The sequence below is a fragment of the Homo sapiens genome, chromosome 3 (assembly GCF_000001405.40).
Source record: "Homo sapiens chromosome 3, GRCh38.p14 Primary Assembly".
Lineage (NCBI taxonomy): Eukaryota > Metazoa > Chordata > Mammalia > Primates > Hominidae > Homo > Homo sapiens.
The window spans coordinates 18,194,766-18,210,090 of NC_000003.12; the positions used below are offsets into that span (position 1 = coordinate 18,194,766).

At 37.4% G+C, this 15,325-nt stretch overlaps 1 long non-coding RNA gene across 1 annotated transcript in view; it reads left to right on the plus strand.

Annotated features, from left to right (window-relative positions):
* BALR6 (B-cell acute lymphoblastic leukemia associated long RNA 6) overlaps positions 1-15,325 on the plus strand; it is a 306,371-nt gene that overhangs the window by 232,214 nt on the left and 58,832 nt on the right. The window lies entirely within an intron of this gene.

Genomic DNA, 15,325 nt, shown 5'->3' on the forward strand with positions numbered 1-15,325 from the left:
TATAGTATTTGTCTTTTTGTGACTGGCTTATTTCACTTCACATAATGTCTGCAAGGTTCAATCATGTCGTAGCATTTGTCAGAATTACCTTCATTTTGAGGGCTAAAATAATGTTCCATTGTATGTGTGATGGTTAATTCTATGTGTGAACTTGATTGGGCCAAAGGGTGCCCAAATTAAACATTATATCTGGATGTATCTGTGAGGGTGTTTTCAGATGAGTTTAGCCTTTGAATGGGTGGATTTAATAAAGTAGAGCGCCCTCCCCAGTTGGGTGTCATCCAATCCACTGAGGACCTGAGTGGAGCAAAAAGCAGAGGAAGAAGAAATTTACCCCTTTTTGCTTCCTGCCTACCTGTTGAGCTGGGACATCAGTTTTCTTCTGTCCTTTCGCTGGAATTGATGCCATTCACTCCCTTGGTTTTCAGACCTTCAGACTCAGTCTGGAGTTACAATATTGGCTTGTCTGCTCTCTGGCTTGCAGAAAGCAGGTTGTGTGACATCTCAGCCTCCATAACTGTGTAAGTCAATTATTCATAATAAATCTCTTCCTTTATGTATATCCTCTTGGTTTTGTTTCTCTGGAGAACCCTGACTAATATGATATATGTATACCACATTGTACTTATCCCTTCATTCCTCAGTGGACACTTGGGTTGCTTACACTTCAGCTAATCATGAATAATGCAGCTATGAACATGTGTGTATGAATATATCTTCCAGACTCTGATTTCAATTCTTTTGAATATGTACTCAGAAGTGGAATTGCTGACTCATATTTCTTATTTTATTTTTAATTTTCTACAGTGGTTATATCATTTTACATTCCCACTGATAATTCATAGGGGTTCCCCAACTTCTTCACACTCTTGGCAATACTTATTATTTTTGTTTTGTTAAACTTATTTTTAATTTTTAATTGATATCTAATATTACATCTATTTATGGGATACATGTAATATTTCAATACATGTTTACAAATGTGGCAATCAAATCAGGGCAGCTGGGATGTCTATCAGCTCAAACATTTATTATTTCTTTGTGTTGGGAGTATTCTAATTCCTGTCTTTTAGCTATTTTGAAATATACAATAAATTGTTGTTAGCTATAATCACCTTACTATGCTATAGAACACTAGAATTTATTTCTCTGCTCTAACTGTAATTTTGTACACATTAAGCAACCTCTCTCTATCCCCCCACTCTCCTACCCTTCTCAGATGCTGGTAACCATTATTTATTTCTCTAATTTCCACAAATGTGTCAACTTTGCAATTTTCCTTTTGTTATTGGTTTCTAACTTCATCCTGTTGTGGTCAAAGAAGATACTTTGTATAATATCTATCTTTATAGCTCTATTGGGACTTAATTTAGGGCCCAAAATATAGCCCATCCTAGGAAATGTTCCACTTGCCCTTGAGCAGAATGTACATTCTACTGTTGTTGGATAGAGATTTCTGTATATGTCTGTTACATCTAGTTAGTTTGTGGTGGTGTTCAAGTCCTCTGTTTTCTTACTTATCTTCTGTCTAGCTGTACTAGCAAACATTAATATATAATGCCTTTTGTTGTGTCTTGCAATCTTGTATAAAATTTAAAGTCTATTTTGTCTGAAAGTAGTATAGTTACCCATGGTCTCTTGTGTCTATTATTTGCATAAAGCATCTCTTTCCATCCTTTCATTTTCAACCTATTTGTGTATTTAGATCTAAAGTGAATCCTTTGCAGATAGCAAATAGTTGGATCATATATTTTAAAATCTATTCCTCCAATCTCTGTCTTTAGAGTAGAGAGTTTAATCCATTTACATTTAAAGTAATTACTCATAAAAAAGACTTATTTATTTGATTTTGCTAATTGTTTTCTATGTACCTTATAGCTTTTTTGTCATGTGCTTTCTGCATTACTGTCTGCTTTTGTATTTAGTTGATTTTTTAAATGAAGCATTTTTCTTTACTTTACATTTTATTTATATATTTATTTTTCCAGATTTCTTAGTCTGTTTTTGTATTTTTTTAAAATATCAACTTTTATTTTAGATACAGGGGGTACACGTGCAGGTTTGTTACATGGGAATATTGCATGATGCTGAAGTATGGGGTACAATCCTGTCATCCAAGTTGTGAGCATAGCACCCAACAGATTGTTTTTCAACCCATGCCCCTCTCCTTTCCCATATAATAGTCCCCAGTTTCTATTGTTCCCTTGTTTATCTCCATGTATGCTCAATGTTTAGCTCCCAGTTGTAAGTAAGAAAGTGTGGTATTTAGTTTTCTATTCCTGCATTAATTCACTTAGGATTATGGTCTCCAACTGCACCTATGTTGCTGCAAAGGATTTAATTTCATTATTTTTTATGGCTAGGTAGTATTTCATGGTGTATATGTACTACATGTTCTTTGTCCAGACTGCCATTGGTGGGCACTGGGTTGATTCCGTGTCTTTGCTATTGTGAATAATGTGTGAAGAACATATGAATGCATGTGTCTTTTTGGTAGAATGATCTATTTTTCCTTGGATATATACCTAGCAATGGGATTGCTGAGTTGAATGGTAGCTCTGTTTTGAGTTCTTTGAGAAATCTCCAGGCTGCTTTCCACAGTGGCTGGACAATACCCACTAACATTGTATACGTGTTTCCTTTTCTCTGTGGTCTTGCCAGCATCTGTGTTTTTTGACTCTTTAATAATGGCTATTCTGACAAGTATGAGATAGTATCTCATTGTGGTTTTGATTTACATTTCTATGATGATTAGCGATGCTGAGCATTTTTGCATGCTCACTGGCAGCTTGTATGTCTTCTTTTTAGAACTGTCTGTTCATGTCCTTTGCTCATTTTTTAATGGGGTTGTTTATTTTTTACTTGTTGTTTTCTATAGAGTCTGGATATTAGGCCATTGTTGAACACATAGTTTGTGAATATCTTCTCCCTTTTTGTAGGTTGTCTGTTTACTTCTTGATAATTTCTTTTGCTGTGCAGAATATCTTTACTTTAATTAGATCCCACTTGTGTATTTTTATTTTTGTTGCAATTGCTTTTGGGGGCTTAGCCAAAAATTCTTTGCCAAGACAAATGTTGAGATGAGTATTTCCTAGCTTGCCTTCTAGAATTTTCATAGTTTGAGGTCTTACATTTAAATCTCTGGTCCATTTTGAGTTAATTTTGTATATGGTGAAAGGTAGGGTTTCAGCTGCAATCTTCTGCATATGGCTAGCCAGTTATCTGAGCACCATTTATTTAGGGAGTTCTTTCTCTATTTGCTTTTTTGGCCTTGTCAAAGATCCAATAGTTGTAGGTGTGTAGCTTTATTTATGGGGTTTCTATTCTGTTCTATTGGTCTATGTGTCTGTTTTTGTACCAGTGCCATGAAAAAATGCTCAACATCACTAATTATCAGGGAAATGCAAATTAAAACTACAATGAAATATCACCTTACTCCTGCAAGAATGACCATAATTTAAAAGCAAAAAAAAAAAAAAAAAAAATTAGATGTTGGCATGGCTGTGGTGAAAAGGGAACACTTTACACTGCTGGCGGGAATGTAAACTAGTACAACCACTATGGAAAACAGTACAGAGAGTCATTAAAGAATTAAAAGTGGAACTACCATTTGGCCCAGCAATCCCACTACTGGGTATCTACCCAAAAGAAAAGAAGTCATTATATGAAAAAAACACATGCACACGCATGTTTATAGCAGCACAACTCACAATTGGAAAGTATGGAACCAACCTTAGTGAACATCAACCAATGAGTGGATAAAAAATATTATATATATATATATGAAATAATGTCTTTTGCAGCAGCTTGGATGGAGCTGGTGGCCATTATTCTAAATGAAGGAACTCAGGAATGGAAAACCAAATATTGTGTGTTCTCAATTATAGGCGGGAGCTAAGCTATGAGGATGCAAAGGAATAAGACTGATATAGTAGACTTTAATGGGGTTATTTTAATGGGGTTATTTATTGTTTACTTGTTGTTTCCTTTAAGTTTTCTATAGAGTCTGGATATTAGGCCATTGTTGAACACATAGTTCAATATCAAGATATTCACACAGTGAATATCTTCTCCCTTTTGTAGGTTGTCTGTTTACTTCTTGATAATTTCTTTTGCTGTGCAGAAGATCTTTACTTTAATTAGATCCCACTTGTGTATTTTTATTTTTGTTGCAATTGCTTTTGGGGGCTTAGCCAAATATTCTTTGCTGAGACAAATGTTGAGATGAGTATTTCCTAGGGATTCATAAGGGTGGAAGAGTAGGAGTGGGGTGAGGGATAAAAAACTGCGTATTGGGTACAGTGTACACTGCTCAGGTGACAGGTGCACCAACATTCCAGAAAGCATCACTACAGAACTTATCTATATAACAAAAGATCACCTGTACCCCAAAAGCTATTGAAATGAAGAGTAAGTTGTTTAATTTCCATTTATTTGTGTACTTTTGAGAAATCATCTTGATATTGATTTTTGTTTTTGTTGCACTCCGCTCTGAGAGTGTACTTGGTATGATTTCAATTTTTTAAATGTATTGAGACTTGCTTTTGTGGTTGATCTTAGAATATGTTCCACATGTGGATGAGAAGAATGTATATTCTGTAGTTGTATGCAGCTATGTAAACCTTTTCATAGGTCAAGAACTTTTTTTAATCTAGGCGCTCCAATGTTGGGTGCATATATTTACTATGGTTAAGTCTTCTTTTGAGATTGTACTCATTATCATTACGTAATGCCTTCTTCATCTTTCTTAATTGTTAAAGGTTTAATGTCTGTTTTATCTAATGTAAGAATAGTGACACCTGCTTTTTTTTGTTTCCCATTTGTTTAAAGTCTGCTTTATTTAATGTAAGAATAGTGACTCCTGTTCTTTTTTCCCCCATTTGTATGGTAGATCTTTCTCCAATTCTTTGACCCTGTGGATGTCATTACATATGAGATGGGTCTCTTGAAAACAGCAGATGATTGGGTCTTATCTTTTTATCCAGCTAGCCACCCTATGTCTTTTAAGGGGGCATTTAGACCATTTACATTCAGGGTTAGTATTGATATGAGATTTTGAGATTGAGATTTTGATATGAGATTTTGAGATCATATTTTATGGTATGAGATATGAGATTGTGTCATTAGCTGGTTGTTATGTAGACTTGGTTATGCAGTTGCTATGGTTATGTAGTGTCTGTGGGCTATGTGCTTAAGTGAGTATTTGTGGTAGCAGGTGTTATTCTTTTGATTCCATGTTCAGCACTCTCTGATGGACCTCTTGTAAGGCTGGTCTAGTTGAAATGAATTCTCTCAGCATTTGCTTGTCTGAAAAGGATTTTATTTCTCCTTCACTTATGAAACTTACTTTGGCAGGGTTTGAAATTCTTGATTGGAATTATCTTTAAGGATGCTGAAAATGGGCCTCAATATCTTCCATCTTGTAAGGTTTCTATTGAGAGGTCTACTGCCATCCTGATTGAATTCCCTCTGTACATGACCTGACCCTTCTCCCTGGCTGCTTTTAAGATTTTTTTTCTTTTGCATTGACCTTGGTAAATCTGATGACTGTGTGCCTCAGAGATCATTTTCTTGTGTATTATCTAGCCAGAGTTCTCTATATTTCGTGAATTTGCCTATTAACCTCTCTAATAAGATTTAGGAAATTTTCCTGGACTATAACCTTAAATATATTTTCCAAGTTGCTTATTTTCTCTCCTTCTGTCTCAGGGATTCCCATAAATTATAGATTTGCTTTCTTTACATAATTTCATATTTCTCAGAGGTTTTGTTCATTAATTTTTTAAAAAATTTGTGTCAGACTGAGTTGATTCAAAGAACCAGTCTTTGGGCTCTGAGATTCTTCCCTCAGCTTGGTTTATTCTGTTGTGAATACTTCCAATTGTATTATGAAATACTCGTAGTGAATGTTTCAGCTCAAGAAGCTTATTTTAGGTCTGTCTTATAAGTACTATTTCATCTTTCAGCTCTTGAATCATTTCACTGGATTGTTTGGCTTCCTTGGATTGGGTTTGAGCTGTCTCCTGGATCTTGATGAGCTTCCTTGCTATTCAGATTCTGAATTCGATGTCTGCCATTTCAGACCGGCTAATAACCATTGCTGGGAGCTAGTGGGCTTGTTTGGAGGTGAGGGGACACTCCAGCTTTTTGAATTGCTACAGTTCTTGCATTAATTCTTTCTCATATGAGAAGGCTGGTGTTCCTTGAACTGTGGTGTATATTGAGTATAGTTAGTGCATTCTGTTCTGGAGGTTTTCAGAGGGGTAAGTCTCTGTAGAGGGTTTTTTTATATTAAATTCTTATCTTTGGTTTCTGTATTAGTCCATTCCCATGCTGCTATAAGGACATACTCGAGACTGGGTAATTTATAAAGGAAAGACATTTAAGTGACTCACAGTTCCATATGGCTGGGGAGGCCTCAGGAAACTTACAATTATGGCAGAAGGGGAAGCAAACATGTCTTTCTTCATGTGGCAGCAGAAGAGAGAAATGCCGAGCGAAGCGGGGAAAGCCTGTTATAAAACCATCAAATCTTGTAAGAACTAACTCACTATCACTAGAACAGCATTAGGATAATTGCCCCCATGATTCAATTACCTCCCACCAGGTCCCTCCCATGACACATGGGGATTTTGGGAACTACAATTTAAGATGAGATTTGGGTGAGGACACAACAAAACCATATTAGTTTCTCAGTGGGGGGAAATTAGCAAAGTGTTTTTGGTGTTGTAGTTTGGACTGCATTCCAGTAGATAACACTTGAGAGCAATGGGTGGTAGATAGGCTCCTTTGTGTATCCTTGTGTTGCAGCTGTGCTCTGTGGTGTGAAGGGCAGAGAGGTGACCCCCACATGTTGTCCTTGTCTAATAAGTTAGAAATTGAGTGGGTCACCAAATTACAAAAAGAAAATCAACCTTATGAAGATTATCTATTTCAAAAAAGTAAGTTTACCTCTCAACACATGTCTCAATGTAGTTGTGGTGGTCAGTTGAGGTAATACTAAAGGAACCTTCCAACTCTTTTTTTTTTTTTTTGAGATGGAGTCTCACTCTGTCACCCAGGCTGGAGTGCAATGGCGTGATCTCGGCTCACTGCAAGCTCCACCTCCCAGATTCAAGCGATTCTCCTGGCTCGGCCTCCTGAGTAGCTGGGATTACAGGCGCCCGCCACTACACCTAGCTAATTTTTGTATTTTTAGTAGAGACGGGGTTTCATCATGTTAAGCAGGCTGGTCTCGAACTCCTGACCTCAGGTAATCCACCCACCTTGGCCTCCCAAAGTGCTGGGATTACAGGCATGAGCCACTGTGCCGGGCCCCAACTCTTAAGGAAAAACACACACACACACACACAAAAACACAGGTACTGGGAGAAATCTCTCAATTGATTTATGACTCTTACTTCTTCATAAGAGAAAAGTGTTGGACATTTGTGATAAAAATTAAACTGATTTACAATTTTAAAAGTGCCAGAGTGTGTTACACAAAGCATTAACCACCATCTAAGATGCTACCAGGATTCTATGTTTAGGCTATAATTCTTACTATGCCTCCATTATGAAAATTCAAAAAGCATTTTAAAGGCTCTTAGAAGTCTCACCTATGGAGTTTGGTTTAACTCAAGTTAAAAAATAGAGATATGCTATTCATTCTTTAATATTTATTGTCTGTTACCTAAATACCAGACACTATACAAGATTCCTTGATACAGCATAGTCACCTTTTATGGAGCTTACCTTCTAATGGGTGAGGCCAAGAATAAGCAAGTTAAGAAATACATTTTAAATAAACTTACAGGAAATAAATATAGATTTTTATAAGCCTAAGAAGGAAATGACCAAGGTGGTGTAATAAAGAAAGGTCAGAATTGACCTAGAATGGGTGATCAGAGGCATCTTTTCTGAGTTATGGTAGATCTATGATTTTGTACAATCTACATCTTCCTCTTTATTTTACTGGAGTATATCCTCAAAAAAATTTATGGAAAGGGCTGCATGAGAGGTAAACCTCTGCAGTTTTCACATGTCTCAAAATAGGTTATTTTTGTTTTCTTATTTAATTGACAGTTTGACTGGATATAGTAGTCCTTTCATAACTTTGAAGGTCTTGCTCTGTTGTCTTCTCCCTCCATTTTTTCTGGATCATCTGATGCCAGTCTGATTCTTCTTCTTTTTTAGGAGACCTCTATTTTAATTCCATAGGCTCAGCATCTGGTGATACCTGCAATAAATGGGATATAAGGCATTGTCTGAATAAATCGTGGAGGATGGTAGCAAATGTTCCCAGCATTAATCCCTAATATTTTTCTCCACTAAATAGCAGCTTCTGGGACTGTGCTTCCTAGAGCTATATAAGGCTATATGGAAACAGTCTTCACTCAGTGGAATGGTGGTGTCCATAGCAGCATGGGGTCATGGTTTTGAAAATTCCCAGGCATTCATTATACTAAAACAAATCCATCAAATACAAGAAGGATTCTTGTCCTTTCTCTGATTTATCCTCCACACATGAAAAAGCAGACTTCCACAGATGCATAAACTTATAACCAATGGCAGGGCCAAAGCCACAACTTTATTCCATATGCAGTTGTTTAACTGCTTTTTTTTTTTATTAACAGAAATACCATGGTGGATGTAATCATAAAGTTACTTCATTTTTTATCTACTATTCCTTTAAAGGAATAACAGCTGTTTAACATCTTCAGTCCACTGTTATAATAATTGTTGTTATTATAACATATAACTTAAATATAATAATAATTAGTATTGTAACATAGTTATAAGAAGAGAGAAGGGCTTAGAGGAAAGCAGCAGGAGCTTGACAAATACCTGTATGATTGTCTAGATTCCACTCTCTTTGGGTTTGTCAAGTTTAAAATCTGACACATTCTTTGACAATACTTTTTTGAATTCTTTGAAGATATCGTATGTATCAGACACCTCATATGCCTTACCTCCCATCTTCTTGACTAATGACCTTTTGCTTCAGTCACTGCTCTGAGAACCACAGAGTTCAGAAGTAACTGGTTGCATCTTATCTCTGGTGCACCATACATTTCTTTCTTTCTGCAGTGTGGATTTTCTGATGCTACTGTGTATGACACCTCTGGGAACCCATTTGAAACACACAGGCAAGTATGAGGGAGTTGCTGCCCCATAGATAAATGCTTTTTTTCCCTGTCTCTCAGGAAGAAAGTGGACATTTTTAAAAATTTTAATTTTTGATTTTTATGAGCACATAGTATGTGTATATATTTATGAGGTATATGAGATATTTTGATACAAGCATACAATGTATAATAATCACACCAGGGTAAATTGAGTATCCATCACTTCAAGTATTTATCATTTCTTTTCGTTACAAACATTCCAATTATACTTTTAGTTATTTTTAAATGTACAATAAATTATAGTTGACTGTAATCTCCCCATTGTGCTATCAAATACTAGATCTTAGTCATTCTATCTAACTACATTTTTGTAGCTATTAGCCATCCTCACTCCTGCCACCCCATTACCCTTCTCAGCCTTTGGTAACTATCATTCTACTCTCCATCTCCATGAGTTCAATTGTTTCAGTCATTAGTCCCACAAATGAGTGAGAACATGTGAAGTCTGTCATGTAGACAATTTTGAGACACATTCTACCTTGCTCCTAGCTCAATAACACACTTGCATAAGCTTTCCTCTATTCCTCTTATTTCTTGCCTGTTTCCCACTCCTTTTCATTCACTTTACAAAATAGCATATCTGTATTCAAACTCTTGTCTCAGGCTCTGCTTTCTAGGGATAATCCATACAAAATCATACAATCAGTTCCCTTGACATGAGTAAATGCACGCATTCAGCTGATCCCAAACTACTTCTTCAGTCTGTGGGCAGCCCATGGTTTACTTACAGCTTCTCTCTCCTGTCTTTTTGTGCCTGCAGAGTCTTCTTGGACAGCACCTAAGATGGTGCCTATTTCAGCACTCTCTTTGCAAAGAAGCCCATTTCTGGTGCATAGAACACATACAAATCCTAAGTGACAAAAACTCTGGGCATGCAGGCTGACTCGAACGCACCCATCTTTCTTTGTTCTACTACCAGTCAGCCTCTCTTATGTTAAATTTTTCAGGAATGGGGAGGACACAAAGCCACTGTGGCAGCAAGGCTCAAAGGACTCATTTTAAACTCTCCAAGTATTTTCCTCAAAACTCATTCCCTGCCCATTATGGTCTCCACTTTGAGGGCAAGGTAGGATTCATAGCATCACAGCAGCTCTCTCCAAAATATTAACTTTTAATTTGACCCTTTTATCTTCTCCAAATTTCTTTCGTAGTATAAAGGTGGATCTTCAACTAAGAATTGCAAAAACTGGTTATCAAAGACTACCTTTACATGTCCTGCATAGATACCTCACAACTTGATTTGAATTGTGACCTTTATTGTCTTGGGACCTCAGCCAAGAATAGTTCAAACTGAATATTATTACATATACAAAGAAAAATAGTTTTATGGGTGCTCTGAGTCCAAGATCTGATTAGGATACAGAACTGTTTGATTGTAATTAATGTTGTGGCATATTTGAAATAATTATAAGGATGGAAAGTTCCTAGTGCTTAAAGAAGAGTGAGGGAGATAACAAAACATTAAACTTAAGCTCTCTCTCAATTTTAGGAAATAACTGATGGACAAGTAGATATTGAATGAATTATGTATGATGGCTCTTCCAGCACTCAAATCCTTTGTTTATTTCTTTGTTGGTGATTGAAGATATAACCATTTCCTCATATAAAGCGGTTTTCACAAACTTTCTATAACTGTATTTTGGGGCCTCAAAAGGAAGAAAAAAATGATCAAACTGATGAAGAAAGAATGGGAAAATAAAAGGAATAATTATAAGCCAGAGTAAAAAATACTACTTAGGCATATACCAATTATTTCTGCAAAATCCACAATTTATGGAAAGAAATCTCAATGTTCACATATTGATCAGCTTTTTAAAAAAATTATACTTTAAGTTCTGGGGTACACGTGCAGAATGTGCAGTTTTGTTACATAGGTATACACGTGCCATGGCGGTTTGCTGCACGAATCAACCTGTCATCTACATTAGGTATTTCTCCTAATGTTATCCCTCCCCTACCCCTCAACGCCTGACAGACCCTGGTGTGTAAATGCAAATCAAAACCACAATGAGATACCATCTCACGCCAGTTAGAGTGGCGATCATTAAAAAGTCAGAAAACAACAGATGCTGGAGAGGATGCGGAGAAATAGGAATGCTTTTACACTGTTGGTGGGAGTGTAAATTAGTTCAACCGTTGTGGAAGACAGTGTGGCAATTCCTCAAGGATCTAGAACTAGAAATACCATTTGATCAGCTTTTATTCATACCCACAAAGAATACTTTGTAATAGAGATTTCTCACTGATTTGGGGAAAAAAAAGTGTATTCCATTAACGTATTAGATTACTGCTTCATCTCATCAACTCTTATTTTTACCACCACAACAAAACAGCCTATTTAAAAGCAAATATTGTACCATATCAATCCTTCATTAATGAATGAGCCTAACGAGCAGAGAATTGTCCAGGTTCTGTTCACTATCTGGCTATTCATAGTAATGCATTGTCTGAAATAAAGTCAGATTTGGGTAACTCTTGCACCAAAGCCACTGACAAAGATTTATATGGTTTACCATAATGAGTTGACTTCTCTTTGGATAACGACAGTGACTAATGCTGTACCTATCTTGGTGGAGGCATTTTTTTATCTTATCCATGTTTTACGGAAGGTGATCTTTGGTTTACAGAATCGTGGAACTGGAAAATATATTTAGTGTTTACCTCATTCATTCCCTTATTATGAATGAGAAAATTGAATCCAGAGGCATTAAATGAGACATGTTAGGCTAATGGCAAAGAATTGTCTAGAACTCATGCCTTGTAATTCCAGAGCCCTATGCTGTGAAAGATAAAAACATTAGTTTTTTCTGTAACCCAAAAACAGGCATTATGACATTGCTTTCTGAAATAGACATATGCCAGTTAAAATATGGTAGAGTGCTCAAGTTATATGTGAAACACAGGGCTTTTTATTTTCAAAATGGGAAAGGATGTCAGCTCTCAGTGTTTACTTGATATTTGAGAGTTATTTCCCTTATATTTGTAATCACACCAGAATGTGGTAAAGATTAACAAACCAATGATGTTTATGACAAGTCTTTGTTTTTTTCTAGTTGTTCATAACTACCATCAAAAGCTGAGGTTCTAGAATGTCCATTTAAACATCCAGGGCACTACTGTCAGCAAGAGATCATTAATCCAGTGAGAGTATAATTAAAAGAACAGTCTTCCATCCTCCCACTCCAATTTCCAAACCTGAATAAGATGAAAATATATCTTTATTCTTGTTGCTTTCCACTTAGGGTTGTAGTGGCTACCTTACCTAAAAATAAGATTACATTGTAAAGCAAGATGTCATTTCAAAGTGTTTGTGTGTAGCTATAGAGGGCTATATGGCTTTGTTGCTTGAAGAGACTCTTATCTATCAACAGATGTGTAGGCATGGTCTGGTTGTCAGAGAATGAATAAAGAGAAGCTGATGATGCACCATACCATAAAGTGAAACATTATTTCTGCTGCAGCAAGAGGAAGATTATATCGCACATATGAAAAATTTCCTCCTTCAATATGAGTGTCAACTGCATGGTTTCTGAGAAGTATAGTTTCATGTTGCATGGGATGTGTGGGAGGTGAAGGCAGTTAGCTTCTGAATATTACAGCGTTGCCACCACACGTTAATGGAGAGACCTTGAGATGGGCCAGGCATTGAGTGCCATAATGCACCCTGGTTCTTGAGGCTATTTTAGAACACATAATTTACACTTTGGGAAATGTAAGTTGTGAGTTATAATATCCACCCCTCTTTCTTATGAGAAGGGATCTCTCCATGATATAACCAATTGTCCTGTGGGAAAGATATAGAATGTTCCAGAAAGAGGGATATAGTTGTAATAGAAAGACATTAGAAGGGCTCTTTTTGAAGAGAAGTAAATCTAGGAATTGGAAAATACCCACAGGGAAATGCTTAAGGTTTAAATTTTTGTGCTTTACTCTTAGACCAACTGGGGGTGATTTTGCCTCTTTCCAACTATTTGGCAATGTTGGGGGACATTTTTTATTGTTACAACTTAGGGCAGGGTGCTGCTGGCATCTAGTGGGTAGAGGCCAGGGATGCTGCTAAGCATATTACAATGCCTAGGACAGCCCCTTACAGCAAAGGATTATCTACCTCTAAATGTCAGTAGAACCAAGGTTGAGAACCCCTATTTTAGACTAAGAATAGCCACATTATGCTCCCTAACTTAAGTTCTTTTCCTTGTAGTTTTAATTCCCATCAGTGGAGTATGTTGTGTACATGTTATTTTGTGCTCATGGTGCTATGGAAGATGATCAGGAGGGGGCAACATGGGGAAACGTGGTCTTCCTCAGATCACCCCACTTCTGAAGTGTATCCCCTGGTGAACGCATCACATCTGGGAGGAAATGAATCTCCAGTTCCAGGCAGTAACCAGCTGCAAAGAACTCAGTGGCCTATTGTGACATTTATTTCTTTGTTGTCTCTGAGTCCCAAGCCCACATTTTCTCTATATTCTACTAGAAGTCTGCAAGCTACATTTCCCAGATTCCTCTGCTGGATAGATTCCCATTAAATTCTGCCTTTGAGCAGCATTGGCAGGAGACTGCAACATGAGAGGATGAGAGAAAGAGTCCTTGGACAACATCTTCCTGTTTGCAGCTCCTGGCACATCTCTTTAGCAGCAGAGGGCAGCTATGGCTCCAGTCTCCAGCTTTTAAAAACCCTTTCAGACCCATCCCTTAGAGGTACCATCATCAGCCCTGTGTCTGGACCCCCTCAGAGACCTAATTATCAGTGTGTGGCACCTCCATCCCTGAGCACTGGCAACATGGGGCCCTTCCTCTTGACTCCTAGGTTTTGGTGCCCATAAATTTTCCTTTTGGTTCCCTCAAACCTAGGAATTGTAGCTGCTTCCTGTGGCTACTATTGCTTCTGGGTTTCCTTCTTGCCATTAATCTTCAACATCTGTGTAACCAATTGCTTTTATTAAGTCCTCTCCATTTGAATATCAGGCATGTGTCTATTTTCTTGAACGAACACTGACAGATATACCAGGGTAGAGCTGAGAGTAAAGAGCAGAAGCAGGCAGTGTAGAACAGACGCTACCACGTGGCTTTTGGGAGGCCACCATGAGTTAGCACTCTTTTCTTCCAAACACATCTAGTAATGCTAGGATGTGGAGAGGCTGACACATTACCCTAGTGAAATGCAGAAGTGTTTGCTCCTAATCTCTGTGGTACAGAGGAGGAACTCTGAGGTTGACTGTTCTTCCTTTTGCATGGAAAGACATCTATCTTTACACTGAGATAAGGGTGAGCAGGATGGGACCTCATGTTTTCCTCAGCTCACATCTCTTCTGGACTACTAGGCATTGTAGCCCTGGCAAAGAAGCTTCCTGACAACAGATGAAAGAAATAGAGAATCCAGATCACTCTAGTGAAGATACAGAGTGGAGAAAACCCTGTCCTGCCCTCACACCAGTGGGGGATACAAAAAGTTCTCCTATGGGGCAAGGGGTTACAGTTAGTCTGTCAGGCCACCAATAATTAATGACCAAGTTTGCACAGACAATAGCGGCAAAGTCACAAATGGTCCTGGCTGACCCATGACAATAAGATGTCAACAATTGTACTAACACACTCCAATTTCAGAGATGTCAAAACATGACCAAATGCTTATTGTAGAATTGGTTGAATATTGAAACTCAGAACCCAGACAGATAAATGGCAAAAAGGCTAATACAAATAGGAGAGTATAAACAAGAAGGCAAATACGTGTCAATAAGAACAAACACTTTGAAAATGGTGATAACTACCCATTAGGATACCAAATTAGAATTTATCGAAAGCCCAGTCCCACAGCAGCTTCCTCTTGGAGGTCACCAGATTCAAACAAATGTCAATCCCTCATTGGCATATGACAAACCTTTTTTTAACCTCTTTGGACAATACACCTTCATGAATTATGTTTTCCCCACAACTCTAGTTATGGATAAAGGCAAATTGGAAAAGCAATCATTTATGCCTTGGAAAATTTCATTATTAGATCACATTGGTTTCCAGCAACACGTTATTTTCTCCGTATGTTTTGTCTTACCACAGTCAGCATGAGTGTCTACTATCCTGAGAAATAAGCCATCCCTTTTAGGAGTTAGTGCTTGAATACCACATGATAACAGCATTTCTCTTCACTTCCCCCATTT